The sequence below is a fragment of the Homo sapiens genome, chromosome 7 (assembly GCF_000001405.40).
Source record: "Homo sapiens chromosome 7, GRCh38.p14 Primary Assembly".
NCBI lineage: Eukaryota > Metazoa > Chordata > Mammalia > Primates > Hominidae > Homo > Homo sapiens.
The window spans coordinates 158,773,613-158,792,122 of record NC_000007.14 but is presented as its reverse complement, the minus strand read 5'-3'; the positions used below and the strand labels follow the sequence as shown (position 1 = coordinate 158,792,122).

General features: G+C 41.4%; 1 protein-coding gene across 9 annotated transcripts in view; it reads left to right on the top strand.

Annotated features, from left to right (window-relative positions):
- Positions 1 to 18,510, top strand: part of ESYT2 (extended synaptotagmin 2) — a 98,513-nt gene that overhangs the window by 37,387 nt on the left and 42,616 nt on the right. For 7 of the 9 annotated variants that reach the window (XM_024446846.2, NM_020728.3, NM_001367773.1 and 4 more), the window contains exons 5-6: positions 3,706 to 3,778; positions 4,030 to 4,119. In XM_024446846.2, coding sequence (XP_024302614.2) covers positions 3,706 to 3,778; positions 4,030 to 4,119 — 163 coding nt within the window. Of the gene's footprint in view, positions 1 to 768; positions 944 to 3,705; positions 3,779 to 4,029; positions 4,120 to 18,510 lie in introns of those variants that run through there. The other 2 variants (XM_047420660.1, XM_024446848.2) reach the window with 1 other exon arrangement.

Genomic DNA, 18,510 nt, shown 5'->3' with positions numbered 1-18,510 from the left:
CGGATACAAAGTGAACACACTAAAATCAATTGCATTTTTATACACTAACAATTAACAATCCCAAAAGAAAATGAAGGAAACAATTTCATTTGTAATAGAATCAAAAAGAATAAAATACTTAGGAATAAACTAAGGAGGAGAAAACTAAAATATTGCTGAAAGAAATCAAAGAAGATACAAATAAATAGAAAAACATTCTACCTTAATGGATTAGAAGACTTAATATTGTTAAGATGTTACTACTACCTAAAGCAATCCCAGATTTAATGCAGTCCCTATAATCATGAATCCGATAAGCAGTCATCATCCAGGATATATAGAGAACTCCTGAAATTCAACAACAGAACAACCAAACAGCCCTATTCAAAAATGTGGAAAGAACTTGAACAGACATTTCTCCAGGGATGATACAGAAATGGCTAGGAAGCACATGGAAAGATACTGACCATCACTAACCATTAGGAAAATGCAAATCTAGACCGTAATGAAATACCACCTAACACCTATTAGAAAGGCTACTGTCAAAAGAAACCCAGAAAATAACAGGTGTTGGTGAGATGTGGAGAAATTGGAACCTTTGTGCACTGTTGGTAGAAATGTGAAATGGTACAGCTGCTGTGGAAACAGTTCCTCAAAACCTTAAACATAAAATTACCATGTGATCCAGAAATCCCGCCTCTGTGTACATACCCGAAAGAATTGAAAGCCGGGACTTGAGCAGATATTTGCACACCCACATTCTTAGCAGCATTTTTTACAATAGCTACAAGGCGGAAGCAGCCCAAGGATGCGTGGGCCGATGAATGGATAAGCAGAATGTGGCCTGTACACCTTAGAAACACGGGACTCCTGCTCCAGGCCGCCACATGCTGGACCTTGAGGACCTTATGCTGAAGGAAACAAGCCAGACACAAAGGGACAGCGTCTGCATAATTGCACTTGTGTGAGGTTTCTGGGGGAGTCAAACTCATAGACAGAAGCGGAATGGTGGTTGCCAGGGCCTGGGAGCAGAAGGAATGGGGAGTTAGTGTTTAATGGGGGGAGAGTGTTCGTTTTGCAAGTTGAAAAATGGTCCGGAGACGGATGGTGGTGATGGTTGCACGTTATGGATGTGTTTAGTACCACTGAGTTGTACACTTAAAAATGATTATGAGGGTAGATTTTTGGGGTGTTAATTAATTCATTTATTTATTTTGAGACAGAGTCTCACTCTGTTGTCCAGGCTGGAGTGCAATGGCACGATCTTGGCTCACTGCAACCTCCGCCTCCTGGATTCAAGCAATTCTCCTGCCTCAGCCTCCTGAGTAGCTGGGATTACAGGCACATGCCACCATGCCTGACTAATTTTTATGCTTTTAGTAGAGACAAGGTTTCCACCTTGTTGGCCAGGCTGGTCTAAAACTCCTGACCTCAAGTGATCCGCCTGCCTCGGCCTCCCAAAGTGCTAGGATTACAGGCATGAGCCACCATGCCCAGCCAAATTTTTGTGTATTTTAATACAGTGTTTTACATTGGAAAAAAACAGAAATTGAAGATCTGCCAACTGCCATGCCTAGCATAATAAAAATGGGCTTCCTTCCCCCCACACCCCCCATAGGGTCTCGCTCTGTCACCCGGGCTGGAGGGCAGTGATGCAGCTGTGGCTTAAAAGCGGGCTTCTCTTGTCCTTCATCCTCATTCTTCCTTGAGCTTGCTCAGGGCTTCCTGCTCCACGTGGGGCCTCACAACACGCTGTGTGTGGTGCCCAGTGAGTACTGTGCACTCAGAACAACCATGTAGTGTCTAGCAACTCAGAGTTGTGTGCTGTTTTTGATCCTTTACTAAGGATCATTTTATTAAAATGATCATCTTTGAGTTTACAAAGTATTTAAATATAGTGAATGTACAAAGTTGGTACCAAGTTACCTTTATTTCAGAAAGAAGCATAGACTTTCTTTAATATGGAAAAATCTGCCTCTTTAAAATATTTGGTGCTAGGGCAAACACCATTGTCATCAGTGGAATAAAGGAGGAGGCCCACGTATGTCTCGGGTCAGGCAGTGCCCCAGGAGGACGCTCCGCCCCCAGGAGGACGCTCCGCCCCCAGGAGGACTCTCCCCACTGGGCTGATACCAGGCTTCGTGAGGGTCGGAGCCTTGTGCTGTTGTCCAGTGTCCCCAGCACCGAGCGAGTTTGAGTCCATCAGTCAGTGGATGCCATTTTGAAGGTGCAGTCTGGTTTCATGGTTAGCTGCCATAACATATGCCAAGTATCCTGCTCACATTTACGTCTCTGAACAAATACGCATCAGTCTGGTTTCATGGTTAGCTGCCGTAACATATGCCAAGTATCCTGCTCAGATTTATGTCTCTGAACAAATATGCATTCTGCTTTGTTGTGAGTTCCAGACAAGCACTTTAACCAAATTGGCAGGCAGTAGAGATAGGGAAGGAGTAATTGAAAAGTATTAGAAAATAAAATGATCCAGGCCAGGTGCGGTGGCTCATGCCTGTTAATTCCAGCAGTTTGAAAGGCCCAGGTGGGTGGATCCCTTGAGGTTAGGATTTCAAGACCACCTTGGCCAACATGGTGAAACCCCATCTCTACTAAAAATACAAAAATTAATTAGCGTAGTGGCACACACCTGTAATCCCAGCTACTCGGAAGGCTGAGGCAGGAGAATCACCTGAACCCAGATAGCGGCCGTTGCAGTGAGTCATCATTGCACCACTGTACTCCAGCCTCGGCAACAGAGCGAGACTCCATCTCAAAAAAAAAGAAAAGAAAATGATCAAGTCATAGAATGAAGAAAAGGAAAGTTTTTTTAATAGTTTCGCAACAGGTTAGTGGTGATTTTACCAACTAGGTAGAGAGTAATTCTCAATGAGAGGAATCTGTAGGTATTGGCTTTAACACCAGGACAATAAATATTGGAAGAAACTTATCCCAGATTCCTTTTGTTACTATTTTGCTTATCTGCTTAGACATTCCCTTTCTAGCATTTATCAAACTTACCAACAAACATTGTCAGGTAGGAGTGTGACATCCTACCTCCAAGAGCCAAGGGTTGGGTTCAGGTCCTACACTAACCCATGGAAAAAGTATTTGACATTTCATGTTTATATTAAAAACAGGTGCAAATCTTGCCTTTAGCATTATGTTTGTTTCATATTAATATTTGAAATGACTTAATCATTGAGTAAAATTGAGGCCCCAAACAGATACACTGTTTCTAGTCTTTGATGTTATAGAGGCCTAGGGCACTGTGAGATTTATCATGATTGGGAAGCAAGGTGTGAAATTTATTTGTGTGAAATAAAATTAAACTTTTTAATGTTTAAACATCAGATTTATAAGGTAAGAAAACTACATTGCATCAAAAGACTGCTTCAGAAGTTGCAGTTTGTTATTCGCATCTTCTTTTGAACATGGACATTTATATTTAGTTAAGTGTTTTATATATAAGACCAACAACAACCACAGCCATTGATTGATTGATTGAGAGTATTCCTCCCAACGTCATAGCAGTGTTGGATCTGATAACAGCCTGCACACCTGGAGCAGTAAAATACTATAATTTGATGGGCCACATTTTAGGGTTTTTACCTACAATCTGATTTGGTTGCTTTACTATCATTTTATTCAGATTATACATCTTGCAGGTCTATAATGATTAAGAGAATAGTTCATTTCACTTACATCATGTAATGCAGAATTTTTTGTTAGTTTTGTAGGAAATTGTGAGATTGATTTGGAGATCAAACGATATTTTTGTAGAGCTGGTGTGAAAAGTATCCAGGTAAGTTTTTTGTTTTTTTGTTTTAATTTGACAGTTTTCTAAAGTTCTCTAAGCTGTATTCAAAAATAAAATTAGGAAGTTTTTTTAGCTTGGAATTTTTTTGACGTTCAGTTTTTAGCTGTAGGTCATAGTTGAGATAAATAAGAAGTCACATGCTCAAAAGTTACTAAGATTCGCATGCAAACTCCTTGCGTTAAGCGGCCCTGCAGAATGTTTTCTATTACATATTTTGGTTTCCTGTTTGAGTTTAGATTCATGGTACCATGCGGGTGATCCTGGAACCGTTGATTGGAGATATGCCCTTAGTTGGAGCTTTGTCTATCTTCTTCCTTAGGAAACCAGTAAGTCAATATTTATTTCATTTTTATTTTCCCATTTGGTGGCAAAAATACATACCCGTGGAAGAATATATAAAGTGGAGAAACAAAATTTTATCAACTCACCGTTGTCCCTTTCTGTTGTGTGAATCCTGTGGGAGTTTTTTGTATTTCTTTGTGCCTTAACTGAGAGCTTATCTCTTGATAAACAGCTCTCTTTCCTGATTATAAAAATGTTACAAAAATTTGGAAACATGGACTTCTTCAGAAGGGTGGGTCTTAGCTCACATTTTATTCACCACCTCACTGAATATGATTTATAGATATTTGCTCATTTAATCCTCATGACTCTAAAGCTAAATGTTAACATTGTTTTCTCTTACTGTTCAGAAACTGAGATTTTGAAAGTCTTATTTTTCCAAGTCACACAATTAATAAGAGCCTGTATACAGATCCAGTTTAGTCTGATACAGAGCTCATGTTCCTGAACACTTTGTTGAGAAGACTCATCTGTAAACCTCCCTCTTCTCCCTTCCAGAGATAAGGGCTGCTGTCATTAGCATGCATCTCCTTCCTCTTTTGGGGTGTGTTTAATGAACTGTACACACAGTTTTATATACAGGTTGAATGTTATCGGAGATGCTTGGGACCAGATTTGTTTCAGGTTTTGTAATATTTGCGTTAGACTCCAGTGAGTATTTCCTTTGAGCATGATGCTAGTACTCAAAAAGTTTCTTATATTGAAGCATTTTGGATTTTTAGATTAGGGATGTGGAACGTATACTGTGTTGTTGTTGCTGCTGTTTTACAGTAGTTAATACTATTTGTTATTTCCCACAAAACCAAGACAACAGAACTGTTACTCCCACCAGACAAACTCCTTCCTCCTTCCCTGGGCTCCTGCAGCCTCTGTCCAGCGTCTCCCTTTGCTGCCCTCCGTGTTCATTGTGCTCCTGGTCATCTTCTCCAGGTGCACACTGCCCATATGGTTGTCTGTATCAGCCCACACCTCGCCACTACCTCCCTGTGCCTTTTTCTTTGCCGCAGAAGGCTTTCTTCACCCCTTTTGTTTCACTTTTGTGAAACTTTCTTCGCCCCTTTTGTTTCAGCAATTTCTGCACAGTTATTGTTAGCTCTTTGAAAGCAAGGATCATAACTGTCTCCTTAGAGTCTGGCAAATGAATGATGCAAGATGTGCCATTGATGAGTCCTTTATGGAAGTACCTTCAACATCATTTGTAATTTAAAGTAGGAATATTAATTCATATAATTTGATTCAAATAACTGATTAAAAATTGTCATTTGGCTTTTAAAATACGGGTTTATCTACACCTGACATAAACTAAGTTTACTACAGCTTGTACTTTTTCTGTATAAAAACAAAAGAATTAAGTGTCATCACTTTCTGTTATGAATAAAATAATTGTTCTGATTTTCTTATTACTGAAAGAATGGGCTTATTTTGAATCGATTTTAAGTACACGAAACATGGGAACGTCCAAAAACTCCTAGGTCATCTCTGTCAAATTTTACTGTTAAAATTAAATTTTACTATTCAGGAAGTTAAGAGATTCATAAGATTTAAAATTAATGTGTTTTTTTTCCCATACCAGTCATTAAAAGTCCTCTATGTTTAAGAAACGAACTTCATTAGTGACCAAAAAAACCTCAGTAATCTTAACAAATTGCTAAGTATTTTTAACTTACCCATCTTTAGCCAGGGACATTTTTAACAATTTAGAGAAAGACCTTTTTAAAAAGTTCATTTCAGAATGTAACGAAATCCAAATCTTTAAATCTTCTTCAAAATTTAATAGTGCTGTTACTTAGTTTGGATCTTCCATTGATGACTTTACTTTTAAAATAACGTATTAACTTCCAAATGAAATTTAGTGCTCAGAAAAGAAGGATGGGGCTGAGAAGTTCAGAGTCACTCATTTCCTTATATGGTGAGTAAAGTCATCAAACGTACTCCAGTGAAAAGGAAAATTTTCAGTTTATTTTACTGGAAAATATGAGAACAGAGTTACAGCTGGCTGCCAAGTAATTCCTCCTCATCCTGGTGAAAGATATTTCTAGAAAGGTTTTTATTTTGTGGGTTTTTTAAATTTCTTTCTACTATTTGGATGATTTAGAAACCCTTACGAAACCTTTATACATTTTTCTACTTGTTGGCTTGTTTAGTTTTTATAATGTAGAACTTGTTGAAGGAAAAAAACCCTAAATATTGCTGAGGTGACGAAGTTGGAGTGTAGGTGAAGAAGGCAGCACAGCGCTGTGGTTAAGTGATAGACGTGTGTGTTGGACAGCCTGGTTTTCCACTCCTAGTTCTTTCTCTTACTGTAGCCTTTGAACAACTTACTTCTCTAAGCCTCAGTTTTCCCATCTGTAACATGTCAGGACAGTAATACCTACCTCACACAATTAAATCTGAAAATTAAATGCCAAATGAATGTAAACTGCTTAGTATAATACCTAACAGATAGTAGTCTTCATATTTTAAGAAATTAAATATTTCTCCTACATGTAGGTTTAGTCCTGACACTGGAGGTGATTTATTTATTTATTTATTTATTTATTTATTTATTTATTTATTTATTTTGAGACGGAGTTTCACTCTTGTCACCCAGGCTGGAGTGCAGTGGCGCAATCTCGGCTCACCGCAACCTCCACCTCCTGGGTTCAAGTGATTGTCCTGCCTCAGCCTCCAGAGCAGCTGAGATTACAGGCACCCACCACCACGCCTGGCTAATTTTTTTCTATTTTTAGTAGAGACGGGGTTTCACCATGTCAGCCAGGATGGTCTTGAACTTATGACCTCAGGTGATCCACCCACCTTGGCCTCCCAGAGTACTGGGATTACAGGCGTGAGCCACCGTGCCCGGCCACTAGAGGTGAATTATCAGTAAGGAGAAAAGCTTGGATAATTGTTCTGGTAAGAACTCAACCAATTGGTGTTTGCCTTTGGCTGTGCATAGGGAATCCTTCTCACTTGGTAGTTGTTGGGCAGCATACGGTTTTAGGGTGTTTCAGAGTCCTTAGTCTTGTTGAGATTTATCCCTCGACTAGAGGGGATCCCGGAGGTCTTTCCCAAAACTTCCCTTAGAAATGGTCCTAGGCTTACTCCAAACATGTTCATCCACCAACTTTTGGAGTCTTCCAGCCCAATGCGGAGGTGCTGGCTGCTGGTATCTTTTGAACCGCAGATTCCATTTCTTCCTCTGTAAAATGGAAACAGTGTCTTCTGTTATGAGAAGAAATTGAATCCTATTAGCCAAGGACTCCAGAAATTGATGTGCTTTAAGCAAATGGGGATAAAAAGGAGACGAATTTATTTAAAACATAAAAATAGCATATATTGATGTCTCATGACGTGTACAGGGGACTGCAGTTGAGTCTCAGGAACAGAACGGAACCAGGAATTCGAAAGCCTTCGTGACTCTCTCCACCTCTGCTCGCTTTCCTCTCCCTCTGAGACTAGCTTCATCTGGTTCTGCAGTCCACATGTGGAATAGCATGTCTGCCAGCACTTCAGAGAAAGCCTTGCGTCTTCCTGCATCCTTGGCCTCTCCCTTTGGCCTCCCAGAGTACTGGGATTACAGGCTTGTGAGCCATTCCAGCTGGGTCAGATACCGACCCCTGGACCAGCTGGGGGTAGGAGGGTTGCAGTGTTTGAACAGGGCTCCCTGAAGCCCATTCTTAACAGCCTTGCAGATGAGGCTGCAGTGAATTCCAGAGTCAGGGCCACAGGCACATCCACAGACTCAGACCACACGTTAGTAACTGGGAGTTTTTGCAGTATTTATCCTGCTCTTTTCCCCGACTTTCTGGGATCTGTGGTTTGATGTTTATATTATTTTGGACAGTCTTGCCCACCCCCAGTAGAGGGGGTACAGAGGAGCTTCCTGTTGTCCTGGTCCATCCTGGGTCTTGGGGCCAGAGCTCTCCCAGAGACCCTCCTCCTCCTCCCTGTGCCTTGTGTCTTTGGCGGGTCTTTTGCAGGAGAGGGTCTGCACCTGCCCCAGCAATAGAGGTCTCTACCAGCCTGGGACATTGTCCTACCATGTCCTTAAGGGACCTCTCCCCAGCTGCAGTGGGTTCTCAAGGTGCTTCCCTCCCCCATGGCTTCTGTCCCTTAAGGTGGAAGGTGGGGCGGGGCTTCCTTTGTGCCCTTCTACAGTGGCAGCTGCCTCCTCCCGGGCTCCTCCCCATGGGAAGTGTCCTCCCTGGGGTCGTCTTTGCACACCGGGGATGCAGGTGCCACCACGTGATGTGCACACCTCTGTGGTTCTCTGACTCACCCACACTTGGCCTGTGGCCTTTCATTAGGATCTTGCTGGAGTCGTCTCACTTGTTTTGTGGGGATCTCGTCTTCCTTCAAGTTCAGCCCACTCCTGCCTCTCCTCCCTCAGAGCTGCCCCGAAGGAGGGGTTTCACGCTGGCTGGTGGCTCAGGATGTCAGCTCTCCCGTGTGGTCAAAAGTGAAGCTCTCAGAAGTCCTGGGACTTAGAAACATAAGAAAAACATTTTTGAACTTTACCAACAGCCCAGATCTGCTAAATAAAAAACTGGAGAAAGGTGGGAGCCCTGAGTTTGTATTTCCAACAGACTTCCCAGGTGATTCTTGTTCTGAACTGTGGAGCTCAATGCAGCCAGGATGCCAGGCATACAGCACTGGTCAGGTGCCAAGCAGCTGCCCTGGAATTGTAAACGTTACCCACACCCGTCACAACGGATTAGGGAACGTAGAGAGAAGAGGGGCATCTGTGCGCTTCATGAAACACGTGGATACATCTGTGTCATTCCAGTTGAAACCTGACATTGTTTTCCGATCTTGGAGTGCCGTACACGTTCTGCTTCTCGTAGAAAAGCCGCAACAGCTCAGAGGTGACTTCCTGTCCTTTGGAAATGCCTGTTCCACTGGCTTTTCAGTTTCCTGAAATAGCTCAGTCCTCCAGAGGCGAGGCTCCCAGCATCCTGAGGCACGTGTCCATGGGGAAGGAGGGGCACGCTGATTTTAGTTGCTTTTCCAAAGGCGCCTTCTAAAGCCAGGCCTTTATCGGGCCCTGCTGGTGGCTTCTCCACGGTGCCCTCATGTGGACCTCAGACTGGGCTTTGGAGCCTCCTGTCTCACACACCCATTTTGTCCTTCCCACACACTCGTTCTCTCTCACTTGTTCTTTCACACTTGTCCGCACTCATTCTCACAGACTTGTTCTCACACGGTTTCATTCTCACATTTGTTCTCATGGACACACATTTTCACACTTGTTCTCACACATGCTTGAGCTTCCATACTCATTCTCACACTTGTTCTCTTGCAGATTCGTTTTCACACCCATTCTCACATTTGTTCTCACACTTGTTCTTTAATACTTCTTTGTTCTCACATACCCACTTCACATGTTCTCATTTGTCACACGCTCTTGTTCCTTCACACTCATTCTTTGTTCTCACACTCCCACTTTCCCGCTGCTTCTCACACTCATTTTCTTACACTCGCTATTCCACTCACACTTGTTCTCACTTGTTTCACACACACCTCTCACTGTTCTCACACTCGTTCACTCACTTGTTCTCGTTCTTACACTCACACCTCACTTTGTTCTCACACTCGTTCACTCACTTGTTCTCGTTCTTACCTCACTTTGTTCTCACACTCGTTCACTCACGTTCTTACACTCACACCTCACACTGTTCTCACACTCGTTCACTCACACTTGTTCACTTGTTTCACACATTTCTCACATTTTGTTCTCACACTCATACTTGTTCACTCATTCTCACTCGTTGTTACACTCACATCTGTTCTCACACGTTCACACTTGTTCTCACTTGTTCTTTCACACTCACACCTCACTGTTCTCACACTCACACTTGTTCACTCACTTGTTCTCGTTCTTACACTCACACCTCACACTTTGTTGTCGTTCACTCACATTTGTTCTTACATACACCACACTTCACACGTTCACTCACACTTGTTCTCGTTCTTGCACTTACACCTCACTTTGTTCACACACTTGTTCTCGTAATTACACACATCTCACACTTTGTTCTCACACTCGTTCACACTTGTTCTCGTTCTTACACTCATACCTTTCACACTTTGTTCTGTCGTTCACTCACACTTGTTCTCGTTCTTACTTGTTCTCGTTCTTACACTTACACCTCACTTTGTTCACACACACTTGTTCTCGTTATTACACTCACATCTCACACTTTGTTCTCACACTCGTTCACACTTGTTCTCGTTCTTACACTCACATCTCTCACACTTTGTTCTCACTCGTTCACTCACATTTGTTCTCGTTCTTACACTCCCACCTCTGACACTTTGTTCTCAGTCGTTCACTCACACTTGTTCTCACTTGTTCTTTCACACACCTCACTTTGTTCTCACACTCGTTCATTCACACTTGTTCTCGGTCTTATACTCAAACCTCTCACACTTTGTTCTCACAGTCGTTCACTCACTTGTTCTCGTTCTTACACTCACACCTCTCACACTTTGTTCTCACACGTTCACTCGTTCACTTGTTTCACACTCACACCTCTCACACTTTGTTCTCACAATCACTTGTTCACACTCACACTTCTCACTCGTTCTTACACTCACACCTCACACTTTGTTCTCAACACTCGTTCACTCTCACACTTGTTCTCGTTCTTACACATACCTCACACTTTGTTCTCAACACTCGTTCACTCTCACAGTTGTTCTCACACACCGCACACTGTTCTCACACTCGTTCACTCACTTGTTCACTCACACTGGTTCTCACTCATTCTTACACACACCTCACACTGTTCTCACACTTGTTCACTCATACTTGTTCTCATTTGTTCTCTCACACTCCTCACACCTCACACTGTTCTCACATTCGTTTCACACTTGTTCTCGTTCTCTCGTACTTGTTCTGACATGTTGTGTCTCACATTTGTTCTCACATTTGCTCTTATGTTCTCACACACTCCTCACATATTCTCACACTTATTTTCTTTCTCACGCTCATTCTCACATTAGTTCTCTGTCCCTCTTTCTCACATAGATTTACACAGCCTCTCACACTCTTTGTCTCACACACATTCTCACTCATACACACGTGTTTCCTTTCTCTCTTTCCACTTGCTCCCTCCGTCATTACAGCCTCTGGCTCTTGCTCCTTCACCATTCCCTGTGCTCAGGGACAGGCCTTTCAGTGCCTTGAACATGGGGACCCCTTTGCCTGGTGCCTTCTTTCTTGCATTCAAATCTCTTCCTTTCAAAAGCCAGCTGAGTCCTTTCCTTCCGCAATTCCTGCTCCTGCCTCCCTGACGATTAGTTTCTCTGAACTTCAGTAGCACTTAAATGTATCTCAGTCTTTTCAACAAGGCCCACGTGGGCATGCCCTCTGTTGCCTGACAAGCTTATACTAAAACTTCCTTGTTTTGTGTTTTTAATACTCCATCGTTGATAGTTAATATTCTTTTTGAGGTTTTGTTTTAGACAAAGTAATGTTTTTCTGAAATGATTCTAAGACAATTGGTCAGAAATAGTCTCTGCTTGTTTGGTTTATGTTTGGTCAGTTGTGCTTTGATTATAGATGGTTCCTCATCTGAGATTAAAGTGGGACAGAACTTCAAAAGTAAAAGGGTAAATGTTCGCTGTGATGCTTATGTGGCACATGTGCTAGTCCTTGATAGTGGCGAGAAAGATCTTAATTGCTCAAAGGGATTTCCAGGGAAGGAAGCCCTCAGGTGATGACTGCAGTCGCAGGCAGTGGGCTTGGAGCCTGGCGTGTGGCCTCTGTGCATTGTCTGACTTAGTCCTCACAGGATGGGATTGTTCCCGTGTTACTGGTGAGGAAAATAAAGGCCAGTTTATCATTAAAATGGAAACTTTGATAGGGATGCTTCTAGTATTGACATTTATTGTCTAAAATCTCCCAAATTGTACTTTAAAGTTTAGAAACTTTGTTCTTGAATGGTCTCTTTCGTAGGTAGTCATTCTGAGTGACAGATTTGGAAATGGATGTTTAGGGTGTCACAATAATGGGGGCTGGGGCCCCTATTGCCCTTAGTGGTAGAAACCAAGTTGGATGCTGACCACTTAAGTGTCTTGTAATTGTCAGTGTTGTGTAGCAGAGGACTGCCCCTCTCCACCCCAGGGCCAAGAACCCCTTGTTCATAAGCTCTGCATAGCCTCTGTAAGCAAATACCCGAGTCAAGGTAGCTAGGCATAGAAGCAAATATGGGCCTGGGCTGTCTGCCAGTCATTCCACGTAGAGAGACTTAGAAGCAAGTGAGAAGTCAGTGAGCAAGATGAGGCACATCAGAGACAGGAGCAGATTGGACGGTTTAGAGCAGAAGGGGCCGCAGCACCGTCTGCACAGCTGTCCTTAAAAATCAGTCGTTTCTTCCCATGTGGGTCCAGTGAAAAGATGAGGATTTCATTCTGTCCTTGGCTTATCTAGTTGTGAAAGGCAAAAGGTTACAGATAAGATTACTTCCTCTAGGTCTTAGTTTACTTAACTGTGAAACTAGAATAAATGATTTTCTCAGTTCTAGGACTAACTCTGAATTTGAAGACCCACTTTTTAGCCTAGTTTTATATGTAATTTTCAAAGTGTGTCTGTTTGGCTTCTTTTTTTCTTGAGATGGAGTCTTGCTGTGTTGCCCAGGCTAGAGTGCAGTGACTGTTCACAGAAGGAATCATAGAGTGGAGCACACTACTACAGCCTCACACTCCTGGGCTCAAGCAATCCTTGTGCCACTACACCTGGCTCTCTTGCTTTGTTTTTGAGCTTACTCCAATAACCCTTCATGCTCTTTGCTATAAATAGAAACTTCTTCCTATGTTTGATGCCTTTGATCTTTTGTTTTGATAGGCAAGAAGCCATCTTTCAGATTTCTAGATAGCCTTAAGGAAGTTTTATCTAGATAGTTTGCCTACAAGAGGAGCATTAATACTACCCATTTATGGAGGTTTTACTTGCCAAATTTGGGCAGTTTTTATCATTTAAAATCTAGCAAAACATTATGTCAGTGCCCTCCCAGGCCTTTAAAGTCTTCATGTAACAGCAGGCTAGGGGTTTTGTCAGCTGTAAAGTTACATCTTCTGTTCCTCCAAACAGAAACATACTTTTTAATCTAAACAAGTGGATACTTTTCTTGGGAGCATGTTAAAAAAAAAAAAAAGTGAAGCCAGCCAGTCACACGGTGTGATGTCGTTTTTACATAGCACCTTTATACACGATATAAAAAAGTAGGTTTTTTGCATCAACTGCAAACATGTTTTGTACTCTGTGGATCGGAATCTTGGTGAGGAAGAGCATTGCATCCCGCAAAAGGCTGATGAGTCAGTTAGCTGGAGAGACAGTGCCATCATTCTGGGTTGCAGTTCTGGTGAAGTAAGTAGGATGTTAACACTGCAGATGGAAATGGTTTTCAGATTGCCACATGGAATAATAGTATGGAACGTGAAATTTCAGGAATAGGAGGAGATTCTTTTATTATTTTCCTCCTTCCACTTTGTACATTTTTTTAATAGCCTGCAACTAGTTACATTTATCTTTTTTTTTTTTTTTACATTTTTATCCATAATACAAGTAACTTGACTAAAGCCAGTGTCTGTTTCATGTAAATATATTAACAGGTCCAAAATCACCAACTAAAATTAGCTTTATACTGACTTTTTCTAAAGTCAGTCCTTGTCTCACCCAAATATTTTAACAAGTCCAAAAATAGCACATAGCTACTTGGAACCATATTAAAATCTCATTATAACATGAATTTCAGGTATTCCATGTTGTAGACTTCTCCTTGAAAGATAATGACATTGAAAAATGCTCTTAAGAGAGTTGTTAATTCTGTTTCCCAAAACTTCCTGGATAAAACAATTCTACCTTAATGCTATTAAGACTATGGTAGGTGGTTTTTTTCTTAAAGTAACAAGACTGACGTATAAAATATGAATGCGACATTTAAGATGAAAGTGTTCATAGGCACACCTCGCTTTATTGTGCTTTGCTTTATTGCGCTTCGTAGATACTGTGTTTTTACTAGTTGAAAGTTTATGGCAGCCCTGTGAAAAATAAGCCTGTCCGTGCTGTGAAGCGAACAGCATGTGCTCACTTCATGGCTCTGTGTCATGTTTCGGCAATTCTCGCAGAATTTCACACTTTTTCATTATTATCTGTGACTGTGATCTGTGGTCAGTGATCTTTGTTGTTTCTAATGTAATCGTTTTGGGGCATTACAAACCATGCCTGTGTAAGATGGCGGATTAGTACATTCTCACACCGCTATAAAGATTCTACCTGAGACTGGGCATTTTATGAAGAAAGGGGGGTTATAAAGATACTACCTGAGACTGGGCATTTTATAAAGAAAGGAGGGTTAATTGACTCAAGGTTCTGCATGTCTGGGGAGGCCTCAGGAAACTTACAGTCATGGCAGAAGATGAAGGGGAAGTGAGGCACATCTTACATGATGGCAGGAGAGAGAGTGTCCAGGAGAAACAGCCACTTTTAGAACTATCAGAACTCATGAGAACTCCCTCACTATCATGAGAATAGTGTGGGAGAAACTGTGCCCACGCCAATCACCTCCTACCAGGTCCCTCCCTCAACACATGGAGATTACAGTTCGACATGAGATTTGGGTAGGGACACAGAGCCAAACCATATCAAATGGCCAGGTTAATTGGTAAATGTCGTATCTTCTGACTGCTCCACTGACTGACTGTTCTCCTATGTCTCCCTCTCCTGGATCTCCCTATTCCCTGAGACACAACAATATTGAAATTTTAGGCGAATTCACAACCCTGCAGTGGCCTTTATGTATTTAAGTGAAAGACAGAGTTGAACGCCTCTCACTTTCAGTCAGAAGCTAGGTGGCTCACGCCTGTAATCCCAGCACTTTCAGAGGCCAAGTGGGGCGGATCACTTGAGGTCAGGAGTTCAAGACCAGCGTGGTCAACATAGTGAAAACACCTCTCTACTTAAAAAAAAAAAAAATACAAAAATTAGCTGGGCGTAGTAGTGTATGCCTGTAGTCCCAGCTACTTGGGAGGCTGAAGCAGGAGAATCACTTGAACCTGGGAGGCGGAGGTTGTAGTGAGCTAAGATGGCGCCATTGCACTCCAGCCTGGGCGACAGAGCAAGACTCTGTCTCAAAAAAAAAAAAAAAGCGAAGCTAGAAATGATTAAGCTTAGTGAAGAAGCCATGTTGAAAGCCAGCACAGGCTGAAAGCTAAGCCTCTTGTGCCAAACAGCCAAATTGTAAATGCAAAGGAAATGTTCGAAGGAAAATAAAAGTGCTGCTCCAGTGAACACACCAGTGATAAGGAAACAGCCTTCTTGCTGATAGGGAGAAAGTTTTAGTGCCTGGAGAGATGATCAGCCCAGACATTATATTTCCTTAAGGCAGAGCCTAATCCACAGCAAAGTCCTAACTATCTTCACTTCTATGAAGACTGACAGAGGTGAGGAAGTTGCAGAAGAAAAGTTTGAAGAGGTTGGTTTATGAGGTTCACGGAAAGAAGCCATCTCCATAACATAAAAGTGCAAGGTAAAATAGCAAGTTATCCAGAAGATCTAGCTAAGATCATTGATAAAGGTGGCTCCACTAAACAACAGATTTTCAGTGTATATTAAACATCCTTCTGCTGGAAGAAGATGCCATCTGGAACTTTTCCAGCTAGAGAGGAGCGGTCAGTGCCTGACTTCAAGGCTTCAAAGGACAAGCTAACTGTCTTGTCACAGCTAATGCAGGTGGTGACTTTAAGTTGAAGTAAGCACTCATTTCCCATTCTGAAGACCCTTGGGCCCTTAAGAATCACGCTATATCTACACTGTCTGTGTTCTATACCTGGAAAAACAAAGCCTGGATGACAGCACACCTTTTTACACACTGGTTTACCAAATATTTTAAGCCCACTGTCCAGACCTGCTGCTCAGAAAAAAAAGAGTCCCTCAAAATATAACTGCTCATCAGCAGTGCACCTGGTCACCCAGGAGATCTGATGCAGGTGTACAAGGAGGTAAATGCTGTTTTCTTGCCTGCTGACACCTCATCCATTCTCCAGCCCATGGATCAAGGGGAAATTTCAACTTTCAAGTCTTATTATTTAAGGAATACTTTTTGTAAGACGATAGCTGCCACAGACAGTGATTCCTCTGATGGATCTGGGCAAAGTAAGTCGAAAACCTCCGGAAAGGATTCACCATCCTAGATGCCATTGAAAACACTAGTGATTCATGAGGAGACAAAATATGAATATTAACAGGAATTTGGAAAAAGTTGATTCCAACTCTCATGGATGACTTTGAGGGGTTTAAGACTTCAGTGGAAGAAGGAAGTGCAGGTGGAAGGGAAATAGTGAGAGAACCGTAGTTAGAAGTGGAGCCTGAAGAGGGGGCTGAATTGCTGCAGTCTCAGGATCAAAGTTTAAGGACGAGAAATTGCTTCTTATGACTAACAAAGAAAGTGGTTTCCTGAGATGGAATCTACTCCTAGTGAAGATGCTGCAAACATTGTTGAAATGACAATAAGCGATTTAGAATATCACATAAATTTAGTTGATAAAGGAGTAGCAGGGTTTGAGAGGATGACTCCGCTTTTGAAAGCTGTTCTGTGGGTAAAATGCTATCAAACAGTGTGGCATGCTACAGAGAAATCTTTTTTGAAAGGCAGAGTCAGTCAATGCAGCAAACTTCACTGTTGTCTTACCCTAACCTTCAGCAACCACCACCCCGGTCAGTCAGCAACCATCAGCACTGAGGCAAAACCCTCTACCAGCCAGATTATGACGCGCTGAAGGCTTATGTGATCGTTAGCATTTTTTAGCAATAAAATGTTTTAAAATAAAGGTATGTACATTTTTAAAAAGATATAATGCTATTGCACACTTAAGTATGCCTTGGGAAACCAAAAAATGTGTGTGACTCACATGTTGCAATATTCCCTTTACTGCACTGCTCTAGAACCCAGCCCACAATATCTCCGAGGCATGCCTGTATAGGAAAAATTCTTTATTTCTTTGTTAAATAGCATCTTTGAATTGTATTCTCTTTCCTGTTCTTTTAACTACAATGGCCTCATCTAATTGTATTTAGAAGCTTACCTGCCACTTTCCTTGACACAGCCATCCTTTCCTGAAGTTCATGTGGCCCCTGTGTCTCACAGCTCTGCGGATGGAGCAGTCACCAGTGGGTGTCCTCTGATGGTGCGCTGTGTGAGGTGCTTGCATTTTAACCTGAGTCAAATGCAAGATTCTGTGCTATATCTTTGATATGTTCTTACTTCCTGATGTAGATTTGTGATCAGAAGTAACAACCTTCAGAACTAAATGATAGAATCCTGTTGTGATGCCCTTTTAAATCTTCGTTTCCTCATGACAGGTATTTTTGTATGACCAGAATATTTTGCTGTGGCAGGGAGTACCTGTTCCTTTTTAAGTTGTGTAAGAGAAAAGAGAAAGGAAAATGAGCTCTTAAGTCAGTGTTTATAAATATATTCATATGATTTAGAATGTAGAGGTTTAGCCAGGTGGGTTCAATGGGTGGACTAGGGAAAAACATTTATTTTAAGGGGGAGGTAAAGCATAGGTTGATACTGATGTTTGCAATCCAGTTTGAAGATTAGTTGCCTATTTTTTCCTTCCTAATATTTTATATTTATATCTCATTTCTGTTACATTGAGAAATCTTAGCCTTTCAGGATCTTAAAAATTGTTTTTTGTTTGTTTGTTTGTTTTTAAGTTTTGTTCTATCTATAAGAATCTTGACTCTTCCACTTTATATTTGCTTGCAACCAAAAAGGGATTGCAACCAAAAAGCAGTTTTGTTACTCAACTATATGGGTGATTGAGATCATGCAATTTTACTTAGAATTTCTTCTACAAATATAGAACACAAGTAATTTTATTATGTGCTGTTTTGTTAGGAAAAGCGGTATTTCTAATCAATAGTTTTCATCAACCCACATCTACTTAATGGAATGTTAGCTAACTGGGAATTATTCTAAGATAAACACAGATGTTGAATGAGTGGGTAGAGCATGGTCTGCTAATTGGAAAATACAAAGTAAAACAATGATAAAGTCCATTATTTAACTGCCAGATAGGCTGGCTTTTAGTATTGTTTTTGGTGAGGTATGTGAAAAGGACATTTTCATACACTTTGGTTGGGAATGTAAATGGATACAGTATTTTTGGAGGGCAGGTAGGTACCATCTATTGACATTAAAAATGAACATAAGCCTTTGACCCCAAAATCTCACTTTTTGAATGCTAGTCTGCATATGTATATGAGAACATGTATGTAAAAAGATATTCCCTGACTCATTATTTGTAATTACAATAAAGAAAAGTTGTCAAAATTCTAAGTATCCATCCATAGGAGAGTGGGTAAATAAATTATTTCATGATTT